The sequence below is a fragment of the Homo sapiens genome, chromosome 22, assembly GCF_000001405.40.
Source record: "Homo sapiens chromosome 22, GRCh38.p14 Primary Assembly".
In the NCBI taxonomy this organism is placed as follows: domain Eukaryota; kingdom Metazoa; phylum Chordata; class Mammalia; order Primates; family Hominidae; genus Homo; species Homo sapiens.
Genome location: NC_000022.11, coordinates 43,779,358 through 43,801,820, shown reverse-complemented (window position 1 = coordinate 43,801,820; position 22,463 = coordinate 43,779,358). Strand labels below are relative to the sequence as shown.

The 22,463-nt window shown below is 41.0% G+C and overlaps 1 protein-coding gene across 19 annotated transcripts in view; it reads left to right on the top strand.

Moving 5' to 3' along the window:
• Window positions 1-22,463, top strand: part of EFCAB6 (EF-hand calcium binding domain 6) — a 283,528-nt gene that overhangs the window by 10,485 nt on the left and 250,580 nt on the right. For 11 of the 19 annotated variants that reach the window (XR_007067980.1, XM_011530318.4, XM_017028911.3 and 8 more), the window contains exons 3-4: window positions 4,470-4,576; window positions 19,496-19,641. The exons of 3 other annotated variants lie outside the window; for them this stretch is intronic. Coding sequence is in view for 15 of the 16 variants with exons in the window: in XM_011530318.4 (XP_011528620.1) it covers window positions 4,506-4,576; window positions 19,496-19,641 (217 nt within the window). In the remaining variant the exon portion in view is untranslated. The remainder of the gene's footprint in view (window positions 1-4,469; window positions 4,577-19,495; window positions 19,642-22,463) is intronic. 5 more of the 19 variants (XM_047441462.1, XM_011530319.4, XM_011530317.4 and 2 more) reach the window with 1 other exon arrangement.

Here is a 22,463-nt window from a genome sequence, read left to right as displayed (position 1 = left end):
GTTTTAAGTCGTCCCTTCCTTCCTTTCTTACTGTCTTCCCTTGTGGTTGATTTTCTCTGGTAATATGTTTTAGTCCATTGCTTTTTAGGTTTTTGCATTATAGTTACCATGAGGCTTACAGAAACATCTTATAGATATAACAAATTATTTTAAAAAGATGACAGCTCATCTTAGGTCAGAAAAAAGAATATAAACAAACAAGAAATGAAAAAACTCTACACTAATTCTATCTGTTCCACATTTTGACTTTTAATTGTCTCAATTTACATACTTTTATATTACCTATCTCAACAGGTTGTAGTAGCTATTATTGTTTTTAAGAGATTTCTCTTTTGGGCTTCATGCTAGAGTTACGAGTAGATTGCACATCACAATTCCAGTATTAGAGTATCCCAGGTTTGTCTGTGTACTTAATTTTACCAGCATGTTTTATATCTTTTGTTTTTTTTCTGAATGTTAGTGTTTTCTTTCTTTCAGATTGAATTCCTTTGGCATTTCTTGTAAGACAGGTCTGGTGGTGGTGAATTCTCTCAACTTTTGTTTGTCTGGGAAAGACTTTATCTGTTCTTCATATTTGAAGGATAACTTTGCTGGATATAATATTCTTGGATGACAGTGTCTTTTCTTTTCTTTTAGAACTTTGAAAATTTGTTCCCTTCCCTCCTGGCTATATGATTTCTGTTAAGAAGTCTGTTGCCAGATGAATGGGAGCACCTTTATATGTTATTTGTTTTTTTTCCTCTTGCCGTTTTTAGGATTCTCTCTAGTTTTTGACTTGGAGTTTATTATATGCCTTGGAATAGTCTTATTTGGGTCAAATCTGTTTGTTCTCTGACCTTTGTGTACCTGGATATTTATATCTTTCTCAAGTCTTGGAAGGTTTTCTGTTATTATTTATTTGAATAAGCTTTGTACCCCTTGCTCTTGCTCAATTCCCTTGAATACTAATCATTTTTTAAAATCTCATCTTTTGAGGAAATTTTCTATATCTTATAGGTGATCTTCATTGCTTTTCATTCTTTTTTTTCATTTTTCTCCTCTGAGTGTGTTTTCAAATAGTCTGTCTTCAAGTTAACTGCTTCTTTCCTTTTCTTGATCCATTTTGCTGTTGGTAGCCGTTAATGAATTTTTCAGTTCAGCAAATGTATTTCTCAGTTCCAAGATTTCCACTTGATTTTTAAAAAATTTATCTCAATCTCTGCTAAATTTCTCTGATAAAGTTCTGAATTGATTTTCTGTGTTATCTTGGAAATCACAGAGTTTCCTTAAAATTGCTATTTTGAATTCTTGGATAGACAGCTCAAATATCACTGTTTCATTAGGATCAGTTACTGATTCCTTGCTTTGTTTGCTTGGGGAAATCATGATTCTCTGTTTGCTGCTGTCTTTTTTGTGGATGTACATCTATGTTTTTGCATCGAAGTTATCTATTCCAGTCTTCTCTGGACTTCTTGCTTGTTTTCTTTGGGTATATTTTCTTAGAGGTTCTTTACTGCTAGGTTGCTGCCTCCTTTTCCGCTGTAGTTGTTGGTACCTTGAGCTCAGGTTCACCTTGACTCTAGTAACTGCTTGGAATGCTGACCTTCCTGAATGGGGGAGGTCCCAAAGGGGATGTCCCAGCAGCGTGGGAAGGTTGGGTAGGGTTTGTGTCCAGGCGACCAGTAGGACAAACCTCCTACAGCATGTGACTGCTGAAAATACACTCTGATTTGGTGTCTCCTTTTGTTGAGTTAGAGAGCAGTTTTTCAAGAGCTGGAGATGGTAGTCCCACCTCCCCCTCTTTACCTCTGTCTGTCCTCAGGGATGTTTCTCCCTTCAGGCACTTGTGATGGATTAAGGCAGGGATAGGTCTCCTGCCAGCGAACCCAAGATGGTGGAGAAGCTGGTTGTCCACCTCAATCTCACTTTTCCCAGTGTAGAAACAGTGAATTGGGGGAAAATTTCTTGCATGCTTGGTGCCAGGCAGAATGGGGGGAGGGGCGTTGTGGATGTGGAAGTTGAATTCTTTTACTGTCCCCTCATAGCTGTGGCCCCAAGATCTGTTTCGTCTTCATATGAGAGTTCTGGGATATTCCTGATGATAATGTCGGCACTGTATATTTACTTTGGTTTTCAGGTGAGAGTGAAGCCAGCTTGCTTCTATGCTGCCATTTTGGAACTGGACTATTGCATGTTTTTAAAAAACTTTATTTTGAAATAATTTTAGATTCACATAAAGGTTATAAAATTAGTACTGTGTTCCTGTGTACTTCCAACATCTCCCAGTGATAATATCTTATAGAATAACTGTAATTATTGAAACTGGGAAATTGACACTGGTACAACATCAATTTAACTAAAGTCAATATTAACTAAAGACTTCATTCACATTTCACTAGTTTTTAACAGTGTGCATATCTTTTTCCTTGGTGAATAATCCTATGAAATTTTAACACATGTATAATTTGATATTGTACATGTTTGTGTGTGTGTGTGTGTGTGTGTGTGTGTGGAGACAGATTCTCATTCTGTTACCCAGGCTGGAGTGCAGCAGTGTGATCATAGCTCACTGCAACCTTGAACTCCTGGGCTCAAGTGATCCTCCCATCTCAGCCTCCTGAGCACCTGGGACTGCAGGCACACCACCCTACCTGGCTGATTAAAATTTTTTTTTTTTTGTAAAGACGAGGTCTCACTATGTTGCCCATGCTAGTCTTGAACTTTTGGCCTCAAGCAATCGATCCTCCAGCCTTGGCCTCCCAAAGTGCTGGGGTTAAAGGTGTGAGCCACTGCTCCCAGCTGCATTGTGTATTTTTATCAAGGGAGTACCATAATTATGCCTGTGCTGTAGAAAGGTAAATCCTGCAACAGAGGAGGATGAATCAGAGGTGAAGTTGGAGACCCAGAAGTGATCAGAGGCTGTTTCTGTAATCTCAAGAGTGCACATGAACTGGACAGTGACCTCAGGGATGCAGAGAGGCAGAAGATAGATTTAAGAGGTGTTCTCCAAGTAAAATTGACATCACTTGCTGACTGATTAGAGAGAGGACTCCAGGCAGGAGGCCACAGGCAGGCATTGTCTACCTTGTGTTGTCAGGCTTCAGCAGCTGAAGCAAATCCACTCATGCGTTCATTCTGAATACCTCTGAACACCAGTCACTGGCCTCGGGTCTGGAGACGTAGTGATGATGTCAGTTGCCTTGGCTCTAGTCTTTAGGGAACTGAAAGTCTAGTGGGAGACAAGCCTTAATCAAAGACTTATCCCAATAGCTACATCATTACAAACTGGACTAAGGCTATGAAGGACAACAGAGGTCGTTGTGAAAGCGTGGAAGGGAAGCCAGCCTAGCATGAGGTGTCAAGGAAGGCTCCCTGAAGAAGTGGCATTTGAACTGAAATTTAGGGCCTCAGTTCTCAGAGTGATGTCCTGCCCAGCAGCACCAGCATCTCCTGGGAACGGGTCAGCAATGCAAATTCTTTTTTTTTTTTTGAGATGGAGTCTCGCTCTATTGCCCAGGCTGGAGTGCAGTGGCACAATCTTGGCTCACTGCAACCTCCGCCTCCCAAGTAACTGGGATTATGGGCACCCGCCACCACACCTGGCTAAATTTTGTATTTTTAGTAGAGATGGGGTTTCACCATCTTGGCCAGGCTGGTCTTGAACTCCTGACCTTGTGATTCACCTGTCTTGGCCTCCCGAAGTGCTGGGATTACAGGTGTGAGCCACTGTGCCTGGCCAGCAATGCAAATTCTTAGGCCCCACCCCAACCCAGGACTGGAATGGGAATCTGGAGTGGGCCCAGCAATCTGTTTCTAACAGGCTGTCCAGGTGATCCTGATGTCCACTCAAGTGTGAGAACCATTGATTGTTAGGAGAAAGAGGCATTCATTAGTCAGAGAGGGGCGAGGAATAGGTGGTCTAAGTAGAGGTTACAGCAGGTGAAGAGAAAAAATCTCTTGCTTGGGAATGAGCACATTTGAGGGACTGCCAGTGTGGTTGAGGCAGAGGGAGCCGGGGGAGGATGGCAGCAGAGAAGCAGGGGAGGGCCTGTGCTGCAGCCACAAAGACACCAAGGACTTTGGTCTTGGTTCTAATAGCACTAGGAGGCAATTGGAGTGTTCTAAGCAAGGAAGTAACACGAGGAGATCAGCATTTGAAATGATTATGCTGGTTGTTGTGAGGAAGACAGAAGGGACCACAGTAGGGGTGTGTGTGTGTGTGTGCATGTGTGTGTGTGTATTGGATTGAGACATGAAAAGAGAAGTGATGCTTGTACAGTGGTCACATAAAATCTCTCCCCCTGAGAATCCTACAATTTAGTGTGAAATTCACGTGATTTGCCTAAGGTTTCCTACACAGTTCTCCGGTAGCTTGCAAATTGCTGGATTGTTTGACAAACCCAAAGGCTCCATTCTTGTAGCTTGCATAGGCCGAATAAGAAAATCTGTCCGCCAATCTGTGCTAACCCCATTGCTCTCTTATTTTTCAGCATTCCCAAAGTCAGAAATATTTTATCTTGAAGGGCATGAAACGAAATAGCACCAAAACAAATGCTCCCAAAGGCAGCAGCACCCTCTCAGGCAGTACCAAAGCCAGGTGAGATGCTCCTCCTCCCTGAGCATCTGTGCTCACTGATACAGCTTTTGCACAGTAGGCGGCCAGGTCATTGTGTGGGGCTTCAGGTCTCAAGAGAAAGGTGCTTTAAAAGTTGATCATGTTACCATTGCCACTTCTATCTGGTTTGTGTCCGTCATCCAGGCAACAAGCATTTACTGAGTGCTGACTCCTGGGCCAAAATTTTTAGGCATTCTCATATATATCACATCAGCAAGCATTGGCTTATACATTTTAACAGTGGATGACCTTAATTTGGTGCTCAGCATGAATGGAAATACTAGACAACTGCAGTGAGTTCAGAGAATGATTCCATCCACGTCACTGCGAGACAGCAGGGCCCACTCGACAATCCAGCTTTTCTTGAACCTAGATTCACATTTCCTGCAATAGGTGGCAGCAGCAGCAAGACTTCTAGTTCCTGAACCCTGAAGCTGGGAAAACATGCAACTTTGCAGGAGCTGAGGACTTGCTTGGATTTGGCTTGACTATAAATAGGATGTGCTCAGCCCTCCTTGTCTGCTTATAGGAGCTGGGAGAGAGCGTAATTGTCTGCAGCTCTTACATTTTAAAAGGCTTCGAGTGCAACTGTTTTGAGATGTTTGACAGCACACTTGTGGTCAGTGTTTCTGACACGACTTGTTTTTTCTCGGTTGCCGTATCTGTGTCTGTCATCACATCAGGTGTGGTGGGTCTGATGATATTCATGAGGTAATAGTGAATTTCTGAGATAGCTCCTGAAATTAGACTTTTATATCCATGATAAAGGAGTATTACAAACAAAACAGTATAAGCTTTTTTCTTTAGGCTCTGTATTTGGGGCAGCAAGACATTCATGCTAGTGTAAACTAATACAAAACACAATTACTTAATTTAGTTCAACTTAACATTCATCATTTTTTGGAGGTTGACGTGCTGAGCACATGATCAAACCCGACCCTGGCTCCCACGGCATTAATAGTCTGACAGGGAAGACAGACATTGAACAGTCATGGGGTCGAGGGTGTTCATTAAGGAAACCTGGCTGACACTGGCCACCAGTTCTCAGTAGAGGGATGAGTGAGGAATTGTGGATGGCGTGGAAACTTCTACCCTGAATGGTGGGAAAAAGAGAGACTCATCAATAAAATACAGGAGTAGAAGGACATGTGGTGTGCATGTGTGCTACTCTGTGTGTGTGGTGTGTGTGTCTGTGGGGGGTAAGTGGTCTGTGGTGTGTGTGTTTCTGTGGGGGGTGAGTTGTGTGTGGTGTGTGTGTTTCTGTGGGGGGTGAGTTGTGTGTGGTACGTGTGTGATGAAGGGGTGTGTGTGTGTGTGGTGTATGTGTGGTGAGTGTGTATTGTGTGTGGTGACTGTGTATGGTGAGAGTATGTGGTGAGTGTGTAGTGTGTGTGTGTGTGTGTGTGTTGGGAGGCGAGTGCTGTCTGAATGGCAGGGCTGTGAAAACCATTTATTTGTCAGTAATTTGGAGCAGCAGTTACGTGCTGAGTACTTCGGGGCTGGGGGTAGAGTGGTGTAAACACACCCTTTTATTTCATGGAGCTTATAATGGAGTTCATAATTTCCCAACTAAAAGTGTAATGCGAAGTTGGGGTATGTACAGTGCCGGAGAAGTGCAGGCTGTGTGAGAGACTCTGCAAGGAAGATGCAGGGTGGTCAGAGAAGCCTCTCCAGAAAGTGATGTTCCAGGAGGTCTCAAGGCAGAGGAATCGGCTGGGGTGGAGCAGGGCCGAGGGACCCATGGGGCCGTGAGAGGGGAGATGTGGGCAGGAGGCAGCTCCTCTCCTGCCTAGTGGGCACTGGTAGGCATGATGTCTAGAACATGCCATGACACGGTTATTAAAGAACATTTAACATAAAAAGATCAATGTCTCCATCGTCCCCAGGTAGCAATTTTTGTCATATCTTCTAGTCCCTGTCTATTTGTGACAATATATTTTTATATCGTTGTATTCATAGTGTATGCCCCACTGTACTTGTTCTCTTGACATTGTCCTAAACGTGTTCTGATATTTCTACATATTTTCTAGTTACCAGTTATAGCAGTGATATCCTACTCCATTAAAATATATTCACTTTCCGCAGTTTGTTGTTTTTCATTTGATTTCTAGGTTTGTGGGGGTGGGTCTTACAGTGTGTGAGGGTAGACTGTCTGTGACGATGAGGTTCGGGCAGGGCAAGGGGCTGTACAGGGCCTGGGGAGCTCCTTGGTGGAGGGAGACTGTGTCCCAAATGCGTGGCCATAGTGTTGCCTAGCTGTGGAGGCAGGTCAGTTTATAAGCTCAGATTTTTCTGCTAAATTGAATTCAGATGACTGGCTAAATTGTTTTTTGTGATACCCTATCATTTGGAATATATTTGTAAATCAACTTGCATTCTTATAATTCCTATGTTTAGAACAATAGACTAGGGGTTGCCAGTAGAGTCTGTCTAAGATATTAAGGCAGTATGAGACTGGAATGGGGGAGGAGGGACTGGTCTTCAAATGTTGGTGGCACGAATGCTGGAATCCTCATATTTGATTAGAACTGTATGTAGATGGCTTGCTTTTAATTTTCTACATGTTCTCTTGAGTAGGTTGCAGAATTGTTAAACCGTTTTGCAAACTCAAGTTATCTATTCTTGTGGATTGATACACAGATTTTCTTACTGCCATATCAAATATATGAAAACTTCATTACTCTTATCTGTTTACATACGAATACACACAAATCACTCACATGCATGTAGGCAAATGCATACACACATACACATGCTGGCACAATTGGACAAAAAGCCAAGGATTAAATTCACCGGAGTTTGGGTCTTGGCTTCACTGTTACTGAGTAAATTTGACCTTTTCTCTCTGGCATTTAATTTTTCCACCTCTAAAAATATGGATAATAGTGTCTAACTCACAAGGTTGTCACATGGTTGATGATTAAATGAGATAACACCCAGTGCCCAGCAAAATAGATGCTCGGTTATTGCTAGTTGAAGGACCTAAACGTAATGTTTGCGGCTGGCTTTTAACTTCATTTTGATATAAAGTGGGAAACTTTACACATGAACCTCTTTAAAGGCAAAACCTATAAACTCATACTTATCAATCAACTTCAGGTTCTTCTAAAGCACTGGTCTCAAGCTTATTAAATACAGATGGCTGGGCCCCATCCCCCAGAGAGTCAGTTTGTCTGGGTGGAGCCTGGAAATGTACATTTCTGAAAAAAGGTCTCAAAGTGCTGGTTCAGGCACCACACTTTTGAGAACCACCGTTTTAAAGCTATATGCTTGCTTTCACGGCCCTTTGAAAATCCATTTTTAAAAATGGAAAATAAATGCATTTAAAAACAATGGTATTAATAACAATAACAAATCATGTTATTTCTGCTTGAGGAATCTACAAATGGAATAGCTCTTTCTCCCCTTCAGATGAACCGATGGATGGTGTCTGTTGGGAGAAGTCTTTAATCTGACCGTGGAGATAGAGTGATAGAGTTCACACTCTCACCCACTCTAGCCAGATGGGTACCCCACAGAGTAGTGTTAGTCTCTAGTCAGACAGGTACCCCACAGAGCAATGCTGAATTTCTCCAGGCTACAGTAGTGTTAGTTGGAGATGCTGCGGGGATGCCTTGTTCTTTCCTTTTGCAACATATTGCCATTTTCTTTAACATTCTGAGTTAAATGGTGAGTGACTAGAGGGTCAGGGTGGGTTATATTTCTTTCTCTTCCTAGACCCTAGCCAATGCCTGCAGTGGCCTACAGTGTTTGCTGAATAATGGATGGTTGAGAGAATGGTTGCTTAGAAAATGCTTATACCAAGAATGTTTAGGTAGAACACCCAATAGGCTCCATTTTCAGAACGATCCAGATCTGGCCCTTTGGAATCTTCATATTGTAATTGAAGTCTCACTAGCTTTTATGATCCCGCAGTTGGTAGAAATTAGAACTAGAGGAGACCCAACAGGTCATCCAGACCATTCTCCCTCTGGAAGAGTACTCCCTGCAGTGTACTCTGTGGCATTAGGAGGAATTACTTTTCATATGATTATTTTTTTTTCATGCTGTCTTCAACTAAGTGTTTCTTGAATTGAATCACTTTGTATTCAAGTAATAAAATGCACAACAGGCAGTGCATTTCCGGGTGATTATCTTACTCCTCAGGTGGTGTAATAAGGCATGAGGCCAAAGCCCTGGCATGCCTTATTGTTATTAGGAAGTGAATTTATGGATAAAATAAAGAGAACGGTTCTGTGCATCAGCAATCACTGCAACAAGGAATGCAGTAACAGTGGATGTTCCCCACGTGCTTAGAGAGCCGGGTAATGCGTGAGACTGAGTGTCCCCGTCACACAACCCTGGGCAGCCAGTGACTTTCGGCTGCTCTTAAGGAACGTGTTATTGATTTTGTAAAAAGAGACAGGAAAGCTTTGGTCATTGACAACCATGTGAACTTGATATCGGGGAAGAGCATGTCTTCTGGTTCTGGAAGAGAGAGGCTTAGTCTCCAGCCTTGGGGCACCGCAGTCATGTAGCCCAGGGCAAGTCACTGGCCTGCTCTGAACATTAATTTCCTCACCTATGATGTGGGAAGAAGAATAACTGGGGGTGGGAAGAGTTAAATGATAACTATAAGTTTCATAAATATTAGCACATTTCTTGACTCCGCGAGTCCCCAATAAATAATTGAGTTAGATAATGTATTTGCCTTCTTAAAATTCCTCATCAGGCTGAGTTTCTTGTCTCTTAATTTCTTCAATCTTGTTTTATTATTTCAGCTACACAGATAATTCCCATCACTCTTTGTGCTCCTTCCTGGCCAAGATGTGCACATCTCCACTTCCCTTGCACACACCCTTGACTTGTGGTATCACACTTGCCTGTCAAGACCCTGGCCCAAATTAAACCCAACTTTTTGCCTACCTGTGCTGCTGAACATGGCTGGAGAAAAACACACAACCACAGGTTCGTGTCCATGAACCTCAGATGGCTCTTACAGTTCCCTGGCTGTCACTTCACCTCTCCCACTCCCCGACTTGCCTTCTCTTCTAGACAGTGTTTCATTCTGTGTCCTGTGATCTCAATCCTGAGCCTCACTTCTTCCAGCCTCACTCGCTGCTGATGACCTGACTTCCTAGTTCAAGGAGAAAGCAGAATCAGAAGGGAGCTGCCACAGGCTCCCATCACCACACCTGAATCCACATTCTCCAGCTTCTCTTTTGTCACCATGAAGGCTCATCCTGCTACTTGTCCATGGGATCCCATCTCCATTGGCCAACCGTGGGAACCAGCGAGGCTCTTCTTTCTCTCCTGCTGCGTTTCTCTTTGCCCTGCTACTAGGTTGCCGTCATGAGTGTTCAGACATGCTGCTGATTCTCCCATCTTGAAGAAATGTCTCCTGAGACCAGTCATCACACTGTCTCTCAGCTCTACTGTTTCTCCCCATTACAGCAGAGTTCTTTGAAACTGCTGTCTCTATTTACTGTCACTCGTTCTCCTCTGAATTGTTCAGGAACTCACTTAGACAGGTTTTCCCCCACCATTCCCCCAACATTGTTACTATCAGGGTCCTCGGTGGTGCCTTAGGGCTCACTCAAACCGAAGCCCTTATTACGGTGGCATTTGACACTCACCATCAACCCTCCTCCTTAGAACTTATTCTTCTCATGGTTTCTAGGACTGTGGCCTCTGGTCTTTCTCAGTCTCCTTTGCTGGTTCTTCTTCATCTCCTTCAACGGTGAACGTTGGAGGACCCCAAGGCTCAGCCCTTTGACCTTTTCTTTTTTTGCACCTACTTTCTTGATGGGACTATCTCATATCATGCCTTTATATACATGATATGTTGGCAATTCCGAAACTTTTTTTTTTTTTTTGAGGCAGTCTCACTTCTATCACCCAGGCTGAAGTGCAGTGGTGTGGTCTCCGCTCACTGCAACCTCCACCTGCCGGGTTTAAGCGATCCTCCCACCTCAGCCTCCTGCGTAGCTGGGACTATAGGTGTGCACCACCACACCTGGCTCATTTTTGTATTTTTGTAGTGACAGGGTTTTGCCATATCGCCCAGGCTGGTCTTGAACTCTTGAGCTCGAGCAATCTGCCCACCCTGGCCTCCCAAAGTGCTGGGATTCTCAAACTTTTATCTTCAGCCCCAATCTGTCCCTTGAACTCAAACTCATGTATTCAGTGACCTATTCAGTATATCTACTTGGATACCCAACAGGCATCTTAAACTTGAATGTCCAAAATGGAAGTGTTGATCTTCTGTAAACCTGTTCTACCTGCAGTCTTTCCCATCTCAGGTAATGGTCATTCCACCCAACCTTTCTTTTGCATGCTGAATCAAATCTACCAGAGTATGATGGACTCCTCCTTCAGAATGTGGCTGGAATCTGATCACTTCTCAATACTTTTACAAAAACCACATGGTCTGAGCCGCTGTCTTCTCTTGCACGGATTATTGCAGAAGACTTCTGTCTTCATTTCCTCCCTTGCACCTGTAAGCCTATTCGTGACATACAGCCAGAGATATTCCTTTAACCCAGAGGCCAGATCATCTCCTCTGCACTAACCCCCTAGAGGTTTCACATGTCAGGTATCACAATAAGAGCCAAGCCTCACACTGGCCTGCAAGGCTGTCCTTCATCTGGCCGCCTGTTTCTTCCTTGTCTTCCTAACTGCATGGTTCCCCTCTTGGTCTCCTTTAGATCTTTGCTTAATGTCTTCTATTCTTCTCTGCTCCACTGGTCTCCGTAGATCTGATTCACTTGTATGATTAATTTGTTTATTGCCTGCCTTCCATTTCTACAGTATAAGATCCACAAGGTCCAGGAGTTTACATATTTTGTTCATTGATCTCCAGACTCCTAGAAAGGAACTGAGTAAATATGTGTTGACTGTGTGAACACAAACCAAGCTTTGTTTTTCGGTATAATTCTGGAAGTTTACCTCTGTAAAGATTCAATTCAGTTAAATTAATCCAGCCCAAGAAGGATGTGTGTGGGATTGCTGAGGCTCTAGGGCTCTTATGGTATAAGCCATGAGGTGGTTCTTACGTACAGGACCTGCCACCTGACTGTGGCAAATAAGACAGGTCTCTAGACTGTACAGTGCAAGGCAGAGTCGGTGCCTGCCCAGAGAGGGAAAGCAAAGTACTAGCCAATGTGGATTTCTTGCACATTAAAAAAAATTCTTATTCATTTCTTCAACCCTGTAAACTTTGTGATTCTTCAAATTGAGGACTTCAGAAGCATCATCTAGTCTGATTCTGTATACTCGTATAGTGCCATCCACATCCATCTATTTTTGAATATTTAATAATTTTACACTTGCATTTAATACATGGAACCTGGTAGGAAGACTTTTGTGTGTGTGTGTGTGTGTGTGTGTGTGTGTGTGTGAAGGTTAGCCAACTTAGGAGCCTCAGACAATTATGCTGTAAACTTCCTTGTAGAACTGGAGCTTGGCCTCCTTAATTCACTCTTACGTTGAGAGTAGCCAAAAAGGAATGAGTCAGACTAAAATTCCCCTTATTTTCTGAAACACTAATAAGCCAAACTCCTCATTGCCACAGACTGGCAGTATCTACGAATTAAAAATCACGAAGGCATGTAACAGTGTCGTGACCGCTGAGCATTAGGTCTGCTGCAGTAGGAGCACAGCCAAGTTAGCTCTGACAGTGGGGGCGTGAGCCTGGCTGATGGTAAGCAGGACACCGCTGTGACTCACTGGGATACATCTGGATGTCTTGCTTTTGCCCTGCTTCCCCTAAGGTCTTTAAATCATAATCTAAATAACTGTCAAGTAAACATATTGCCTTAGAAATTATTGAAAGGGAACTACCTTTGCCAAAGGTGCCCACGGAAGCAACGTCTCCCTTGGCTCACCCAGTGCTGCTGCTGCATCTCTGTCTTCCCCTTCCTCCTCCACCTTCTCCTTCTCTTCCTCCTTTTTTCTAATTGTGATATAATTCATATACCATAAAATTCACATCCTTTCAAAGTGTATAATTCAGTGTTCTTTTAGTATATTTACAAAGTTGTGCAACTATCACCATTATCTAATCCCAGAACATTTTTGTCACCTCTAAAAGAAACTCTGTATCCATCAGCAGTCCCATTCCTCCCTTCTTCCAGTTCCTGGCAACTGCCAATCTATTTTCTTTTTTTTAGCCCCTGCTTCCCCTTCCCTGCCACCCACTAACCTACTTTCTGTCTCTAGATTTGCCTGTTATGGACATTTTATATAAATGGAATGATACAGTATGTGGTTTTGGGGGTTTGCCTTAGCATAATGTTTTCAAGGTTGATCCATGTTACTGCATGAATCTGGACTTCATTCCTTTTTAGGGCTGAATAATAGTCCACTGAACAGATCTACCACTTTTTGTTTATCCACTCACCCACTGATGGAAGTTTGGGTTGTTTCCACTTCTTGTCTATTGTGAATAATGCTGCTATGAATATTTAAGTACAACTTTTTTTTGATGGATGTATGTTTTCAGTTCCCTTGGGTATATACCTGGGAGTGAAATTGCTTGGCCGTATGGCAACTCTATGTTTAACTTTTTGAGAAATTCTCAAATTCTATTCCAAAGCATCTGTACCATTTTACATTCTCACCAGTAATATGAGAATTCCAATATCTCTATAATCTTGCCAATACTTGTTATTCTTTGTTTGTTTTATTATAGCCTTGCTAATGAATGTAAAGTGGTATCTCACTGTGGTTTTGATCTGCATTTTTCTATAACTAGTGATGTTGAGTAGCTTTCCATGTACTTACTGGTCATTTGTATATTTTCTTTGAAGAAATGTCTATTCAAATCCCTAGCCCATTTTTCTATTGGGTTATTTGTCCCTTATTATTGAGCTGTAAGAGTTCCTAATATATTCTGCATACTAAATCCTTATCAGATATATGATTGGCAAATAATTTATTCCATTCTGTGGGGTATCTTAGTGCTTTCTTGACAGTATCCTTTGAAGCACAAAAGTTTTAAAGTTTGATGAAGTCCAATTAATCTACTTCTTCTTTAGTTGCCTGTGTTTTTGGTATCATATCTAAGATATCATTGTCTAATCCAAAGTCACAAAGATTTATACCTATGCTTTCTTCTAGGAATTCTGTAGTTTTAGTTCTTATATTTAGGGCTTTGATCTATTTTGAGTTAATTTTTGTATATGGTGTGAGCTAGGGGGCCAACTTCACTCTTTGGCGCTGTTCGTTGAAAAGACTACTTTTTGTTCCCATTGAATGGTCTTGGTACCCTTGACAAGTATCAATTAATGATAAATGTAAAAGTTTATTTCTGGTCTCTCAATTCTATTCCATTGATCTATATGTGCATACTTATGCCAGAACCACACTGTCTTGATCACTGTTGCTTTCTATTAAGTTTTGAAATCGGGAAGTATAAATCCTCCAACTTTATTTTTATTTTTCATGATCTTATTTTTATTTTTCATGATCATTTTGGCTATTCTGGGTCCCTTGCATTTGTATATGAATTTCAATACCAACTTGTCAATTTCTTCAAGAAAGGCAGTTGGGATTTTGATAAACATTGGGTTGAAGCTATAGATCAGTTTGGAGAGTATTGCCATCTTATCCATGAACATGGGATATTTTTCCATTTATTCAGGTCTACTTTCAACAATATTGTGTAGTTTTTAGTGCACAAATATTGTACTTTTTGTTTAATTTATTTCTAAGTATTTTATCTTTTTGATGATATTGTAAATAGAATTGTTTCCTTAATTTTATTTTCAGATTGTTCATTGTAGGTATATAGAGATATAACTGAGTTTTGTATATTGATCTTGTATCCTACAACCTTATTGAACTTGTTTATTAGTTCTAATTGTGTGTGTGTGTGTGTGTGTGTGTGTGTGTGCATATGTGTGTATCTGTCTGTCTGCCTGTATTCCTTAGGATTTTCTATATATACAACAATGTCATTTGCAAATAGAGGTAGTTTTTCATCTTAGTCTCCAATATGGATACCTTTAATTTATTTTTCTTGCCTAACTGCTCTGGCTAGAACCTTCAGTATAATGTTTAATAGAAGTAGTGAGAACAGGCATTCTTGTCTTCTTTTTGATCTTACGGAGAAAACTTTTGGTCATTCACCATTAAATATGACATTACCTGTGAGTGTTTTTTGGATGTCCTTTATTAAGTCAAGGAAGTTCCCTTCCATTCCTAATTTGTTGAATGTTTATTTTTTGAATCATTAAAGGATGTAGGATTTTATGAAATGCTTTTTCTGCACTTAGTGAGATTATTATGTGTTTTTTTTCCTTGATTAATAATATGGTTTATCACATTAATTGATTTTTGTTTGGTCAACCTCTCTTGCATTCCTAGCATAAATTTTGCTTGACTGTGCTGTCTGATTTTTAAAAATATGTTGCTGCATTCAGTTTGCTGGATTCTATTTTTGAGAATTTTCCCTATACTCATAAGGAATATTGGTTTTTAGCTTTTTTTCTTTTCTTTCTTTTTTTAAATTTTATTTTATTTATTTATTTTTTTTATGGAGTCTCGCTCTATCGCCCAGGCTGGAGTGCAGTGGCGCGATCTTGGCTCAGTGCAAACTCTGCCTCCTGGGTTCATGCTGCCTCAGCCACCCGAGTAGCTGGGACTACAGGTGCCCGCCACCATGCCCTGCTAATTTTTTTGTATTTTTAGTAGAGACGGGGTTTCACCATGTTAGCCAGGATGGTCTTGATCTCCTGACCTCGTGATCTGCCTGCCTTGGCCTCCCAAAGTGCTGGGATTACAGGCGTGAGCCACTGTGCCCGGCCACTTTCTTTTTTTCTAATGTCTTTTCTGATTTGGTATCAGGGTAATACTGGCGTCATAGGATGTGTTGAGAAATGTTTTTTCTTCTATTTTTCATAAGAATTTGTGAAGCGTTAGGTGAATTGATCTCAGCACACTTTAACATCCACCTCCCAAGTTCAAGCGATTCTTCTGCCTCAGCCTCCCGGGTAGCTGGGATAACAAGCATGCGCCACCATGCCTGGCTAATTTTTGTATTTTTAGTAGAAACGGGGTTTCGCCACGTTGGCTAGGCTGGTCTCAAACTCTTGACGTCAGGTGATCCACACACCTTGGCCTCCCAAAGTGCTGGGATTACAGGTGTGAGCCACCATGCCCAGCCTTGAATTTTTCTTTAAATGTTTGGTAGAATTTACTAGTGAACTCATCTGGTCCTGGTTCTGGACTTCTTTTGCAGGAAGTTTTTTGGTTATTAATTCAATCTTTTTGTCATAATTCTATCTAGATTTCTGTTTTTTCTTTAGTCAGTTTTAGTATCTTACATCTTCCTAAGAATATTTCCATTATATCTAGGTTACCTAATTTGTTAGCATACAGTTGTGTATAGTATTCCCTTATAATCATTTTTATTTCTGTAAGGTTAGTGGTAATGTCTCCTTTCATCACTGATTTTAATAATTTGAGTGTTTTCTCATTGTTTTTGGCTGGTCTAGCTAAAAATTTGTCAATTTTGATAATCTTTTGAAGTAACTTTGATTAGTTTTGTCTATTTTTCTATTCTTGATTTCATTTATTTCTGCTCCAATCTTTATTGTTTTCTTCATTCTACTAACTTTGGCTTTAGTTTACTCTTATTTTTCTAGTTTCTTAAGGAATAAACAGGTTAGTAATTTGAGATTTTCTTCTTTTTAAAATATAGGCATTAACATCTACAAATTTTCATCTAAGCACTGTTTTAGCTGCATCCTGTAAGTTTTTATATGTTGTGCCTTCATTTTCATCCATCTAAAACTATTTGGTAATTTCTCTTTTGATTTTTTTTTTGACTCATTGGTTATTTAGGAGTGTGTTGTTTAATTTCCACGTATTTGTGAATTATTCAATTTCTGTTTTCATTCTGTATGGTTGGAGATTATACTCTGATAATTTCAATCCTTTTAAATGTATTGAGGCTTGTTTTATGGTCCAAGATATGGTTTATACTGGAGAATGATCCATGTGTGCTGAGAAGAATGATATTCTACTATTGTTGGTTGGATGTGTTCTTTAGTTGTCTGTGAGGTCTAGTTGGTTTGTGGTGGTGTTCAGATCTTCTATGTCTCTGTTGATCTTCTGTCTAGTTATTCTACCCATTATTAAATGTGGATATTGAGGTTTCTAACTATAATTGTTGAAGTATCTATTTTCCAATTTAGTTAGTTTTTGCTTCACGTATATTGGGGCTCTTGTTAGGTGCATATATGTTTATTTTTCCTTCACTTGCCCTTTCTCAAATGCTCTTCCTTTTTTTAATATAGATCTGAGTTTCTGACATATATCTTTCTTTCATTTTCTTTTGTTTCTTTCTTTTTAAAAAAAATTTATTTAGAGACAGGGTCTCAGTCTGTCACCCAGTCTAGAGTACAGTGACATGATCATAGCTCACTGTAACCTCAAATGCCAGGGCTCAGTGATTCTACCATGTGAGCCTCCCAAGTAGCTAGGACTACAGGTGCATGCCACCATGCCTGGCATATATATATATGTGTGTGTGTGTGTGTGTGTGTGTGTGTGTGTGTGTGTGTGTATATATGTATATGTATATATACACATATATATGTGTACATATACATATATATGTGTATATATACACATATATATGTGTATATATACATATATATGTGTATATGTACACATATATATGTGTATATATACATATACACACACACACACACACACACACACACACACATATATATATTTTTTTTTTTTTTTGGTAGAGACAGGGCCTTGCTCTGTTGCCCAGGGTGGTCTTGATCTCCTGGCCTCAAGCAGTTCTCCTGCCTCAGCCTCTCAAAGCACTGAGATTGCAGGCATGAGCCACTGCACCTTGCCTTGCCTTTCTGAAGAATTCCTTTTAACATTTCTTGGAAGTAAGTCTGCTGGCAACACATTCTCTCAATTTTTGTTTGCTCAGGGAAGTATTTCTCATCCACATCCACTTTTGAAGAGTAATTTCATTGAGTTTGGAATTCTAGGTTGGTGGGGTTTTTATTTCAACACGTTAAATATTTCACTCTACTCTTTTCTTTCTTGCATAGTTTCTGAAAATAAGTATGGACCACACTTCCTTGTTTCTTTGCACATCTCATAAATTTTTGTTGAAAACTGGACATTTTATTTATTTATTTATTTTGAGACAGAGTTTTCTCTGTTGCCCAGGCTGGAGTGCAGTGGCGTAATCACGGCTCACTGTAGCCTCAACCTCTCAGGTTCAACTGCTCTTCCCATCTCAGCCTCCTGGTGGCTGAGACCATGGGTGCATGCCACCATGCCTGGTCAATCTTCTTTATTTTTATTTTTTTTGTAGAGACAGAGTCTCAGTATGTTGCCCAGTCTGGTCTTGAACTTCTGGGCTCAAGTCTTGAACTTCCTGCCTCAGCCTCCCAAAATGCTGGGATTACAGAGATGAGACATCATGCTAGGCCCATGACATTTTAAATAATATAATGTAGTAGTTGTGGAAATCATATTCTCATCCCTTTCCATGTTTTGTTGTTGTTAACTGCTTGTTGTTCATTTGTTTATAGAGTTTTCTAAAATTTATAAAGTCTGTATTCTTTGTTATATATGGCCACTAGAGTCTGATTGGTTAGCTTAGTGGTCAGCTCATGGTTGGATAGAAATTTCCGTAAATGCCTGGGAACAGTATCTCCCAATTTTTGCTGAGGGGCTTTTTGTATTGGAGCATTCCTTCAACACTTAGCTAGGCAGTTTATAACTCTGTCTTAGCCTTCATTTCCTGCTTGTGCAGAGCTTGAAGGTCAGTTGGAGGTGAGAGGTTAGGGCCTTCTCAGGTCTTTCCTGAGCACACACCTCTCCCTGGGAATGGTTCTAGCTCTGTGTACTGAGTGACTTCCTAGATTCCCAAGAATATGTGGGCGCTTTTTCAAGTCCCTATCGACATCTCATTCCCCAGCTTTTCCCTTGAAGCTTTTTGGTTGCCTATTATTTGCCCCGTTATCCACCTATTCAGGTAGCCATGATTTTAAACAACAATTGCCTCTGATTTCTTCTAACAAATGCCTCTTCATGATAGGCTGTGTTCACTGAGTGAACTCTGAGTTCAAATAAAGACAGCCTTGGGAGTAGGATCTTTCAGGGAAACATCAGGTCAAATAATGATAAGTTCCGGGTAAGGAGGCTTTGACAGAGCTCCAGCCCTGTTCTGTCCACTCCAGTGACTGTCAGCCTGCTGGGTTTTCCCTGTGATTGCAGGCTGATGGTTTTCAAGGCTACATCCAAGCTGTTGGGGCAGGGGGAGGCAGGTGAGGGAGAATGGGAATGAGGCAAGTTAAAATGCCACAAGGCATGTTCTTCATATTGAGATTCAGCCATTTTGGGGGAATAAATGCTCCCCAGATTGCTGTAAGCCTTTGGTTAATTTCCAGAGTTCTGAAAAAAAATTGATTTCAACAATTTTTCCCAGTGTCCTCATTGATTTAATGAAGGAGAGGATTTTCGGAGGTCCTTACTCCACCAGTTTCGCTCCTGTCATCCCAGCTTTGCCTCTGACTGCATGTTGAATTTATACTGAGGCACTTCAAAAAAGCTCAGAGAATCCAAACTTTCTTCCCCTTACTGCCTACCAAAGAAATGAGTCACTGATAGTCAAGATGTAGGTGGATTTTTCTGTCCAAAAGTCTCTTTATTTTGCCGTTTTTGAAGTTTATTGGATATGCTGAAAACAAGGAGTCCAAAATGATGATTTTTGTGTTCACTTTAAGAATAGTCTGAAACATCAGCAAAGCAGATTATGACTAGCATCATTTTTACACTCTGCAGCTGTCCCTTCAGAAAAGGAATAGATAGGAAATTGGCCACATTTGGAATGTATGCTCTTTAAGGTAACGTAATCTGTTTTCTTTTATATCACAGGGATTTAATGTGCAAAATGGCGATTATACCAGACTGGCTTAGGTCGCATCCTCACACACGAAAATTTACACATTCAAGACCCCATTCTTCACCGTGTAGAGTATATTCAAGGAATGGTTCCCCAAATAAGTTCAGATCTTCTTCAAGTAAGTATTCATGAGCAAATAAGAACACTAACTGTAGATATCACTTATATGTATTTAATATGTACCAAGCTTAGTTCAAAGGACTCATATGACATTTAATCCTCACAATAACTCTATGAATTAGGCTCTGTTTTTATCCCTGTTTTCTATATGGGGAAATTGGGACACAGATTGATTAAGCTATTTGCCTAAAAGTTACAAGGTTTTAAGTGGTATGTCAGGATTTGAACCCAGGGAGTATGATTCCAGAATTCAGGGGCTTATATATATAAAAACTCACTCAGTAAATTAGTAGACTTAATTTTTTTTAGCAGTTTTAGGTGTACAGAAAAATTGACTAGAAAACACAGGAAGTTCCCATACACCCCCTCACTCCCACCCCCAGTTTCCCCATAATTAACATCTCATATTACTGTGGTACATTTGTTACAATCGATGAACCCATACTGATAACATTATTTTTACTTAAAGTTCTTAGTTTACATTAGGGTTCACTCTTGATGGTGGAGATTGTATTAGTTTTAGACAAATGTATAAAATGCCGTGTATTGACCAGGCACAGTGGCTCATGCCTGTTAATCCAAGCACTTCCGGAGGTCGAGGCAGGAGGATTGCTTGAGCCCAGGGGTTCCAGACCAAGCTGGGCAACATAGTAAGACCTTGTCTCTACAAGAAATAAATACAAAAAATTAGCCAGGCATAGTGGTACATGCCTAGAGTCGCAGCTACTTGGGAGGCTGAGGTGGGAAGATGGCTTAGGCCCTGGAGGTCAAGACTTCAGTGAGCCATGATCGTGCCACAGCACTCCAGCCTGGGTGTCAGAGTGAGACCCTGTCTCAAAAAAATAATAATAATAAATAGACATCTTGGTTGCCTCCGTGTTTTGCAATTGTAAGTGAAGCTGCCGTAAGCATTCGTGTACTGGTTTTTATGTGGACATAGGTTTTCAACTCATCTGGAGTTCTTACCAGTTTTAAAAGCAACAGAATTTGACGTTATTATTTTCCAAAAATACGTATCCTTTAATTTCATGTATTAGTTCCTCCATTTACTCATTCATTTATCCACATTTTCTGAGCCATAATATGTGACAGGCACTGTAATAGGTGCTAAGAATAAAGAGATGCACCTGAGAGAAGGCCCGCCCTAGACAAGCTCACAGTCTAGAGAGGGAGATAAAGAATTCAAGTAGCGTGAGCCAAATGCCGTAAGACGCACTTACAAAGCACTGCATGAACACAGCCTGAGGAATCAGCGGGCCACTGTGAAAGAAGAAGCTGGGTTTATGAAAGAAGTTAGGTTTTGCCTTGTAATTGGGTGAAGCCATCCCAGTCATGCTGGACACTCAGGCTTACTTGCAACTGGCAGGACTTGAACCACCAGGTCCCATGCATCTACCAGGGAGCCTGCAAAATAGAGACTGTTTCCAACAACCGTGTGTCTACCCAAACTCAGGGGTCTATTTCTAAGGAGAAAGAGGAGAGTGGATATTAGGGATTAGCTTAGTAGTTTCTGACATCAAAATACATCATCAGCAATAAATGCATCCCAGTTCAATAGCTCCATGTCTACAATCTAATTTAGATATATCTTTATTTAACTAACTTTCTGATCGTACAAAGAAGACTAGAGTGAGGTGAGATGACTGGGTTAAAAGGTGTTCCTACTCTTTTTTTTTTTTTTTTTTTTTTTTGAGACAGAGTCTTACTCTGTCATCCAGGCTGGAGTGCAAGGGCATGATCTTGGCTAACTGCAACCTCTGCCTCCCAGGTTCAAGTGATTCTCATGCCTCAGCCTCCTGAGTAGCTGGAATCACAGGCATGCACCACCACACCTGGCTAATTTTTGTATTTTTAGTAGAGACAGGATTTCACCATGTTGGCCAGGCTGGTCTCAAACTCCTGGCCTCAAGTGATCTATCCCCCTCGGCCTCCCAAAATGCCAGGATTATAGGCATGAGCCAGCGCACCCAGCCTGTTCCTGCTCTTAAGGTTCCTAATGAGTACCACCAGATTACCCTTCAGGAAGCTCACACCTTAGCACATTCTCACTCATGATACTTACAAGTGCTCATTTCTAAGTATCCTAACACAGATTGTCTTTTAAGATCTTGCCCATTGGATATGGAAAAATAACATTCCATTGTGAATTTAATATGCATTTCCTCAATAGTAAGGTTAACTTTTTTTCTCAAGTTTACCAGGCTTATGCCTTTTGCTTTTGTGAGTTGCCTATTCATATCCTTTGCCTGTTTACCTACTTTGGGTTGGTCTTTTTTAGTGACTAGTATGAGCTCTCTTTGTATTGAAAATGTGAACCTTCTATCTGCCTTAGTGCCACAGGTATTTTTCTTTTTTGTCATTTGCTTTTTATTTCTATTGGTGGTACTTTTTAGTGCACTGGAGTGTTTTTTTTAACTTTTTTTTCTTGTTGTTTTATTGAGGCGGAGTCTCGCCCTGTTGCCCAGGCTGGAGTGCAGTGGTGCGATCTTGGCTCACTGCAAGCTCCGTCTCCTGGGTTCAAGCGATTCTCCTGCCTCAGCCTCCTGAGTAGCTGGGACTACAGGCGCATGCCACCATGCCCAGCTAATTTTTGTATTTGTAGTAGAAATGGTGTTTCACCATGTTGGCCAGAATGGTCTCGATCTCTTGACCTTGTGATCCGCCCACCTCGGCCTCCCAAAGTGCTGGGATTACAGGCATGAGCCACCGTGCCCGGCATTTTTTTACTTTTTAAAAATTAAAGATATATTTGCCTCCCAGCACCACTTTCCTCTACAAGAGGGTATCATCAGCAGTTGGGCTGATCTCTTTTTCACGCAT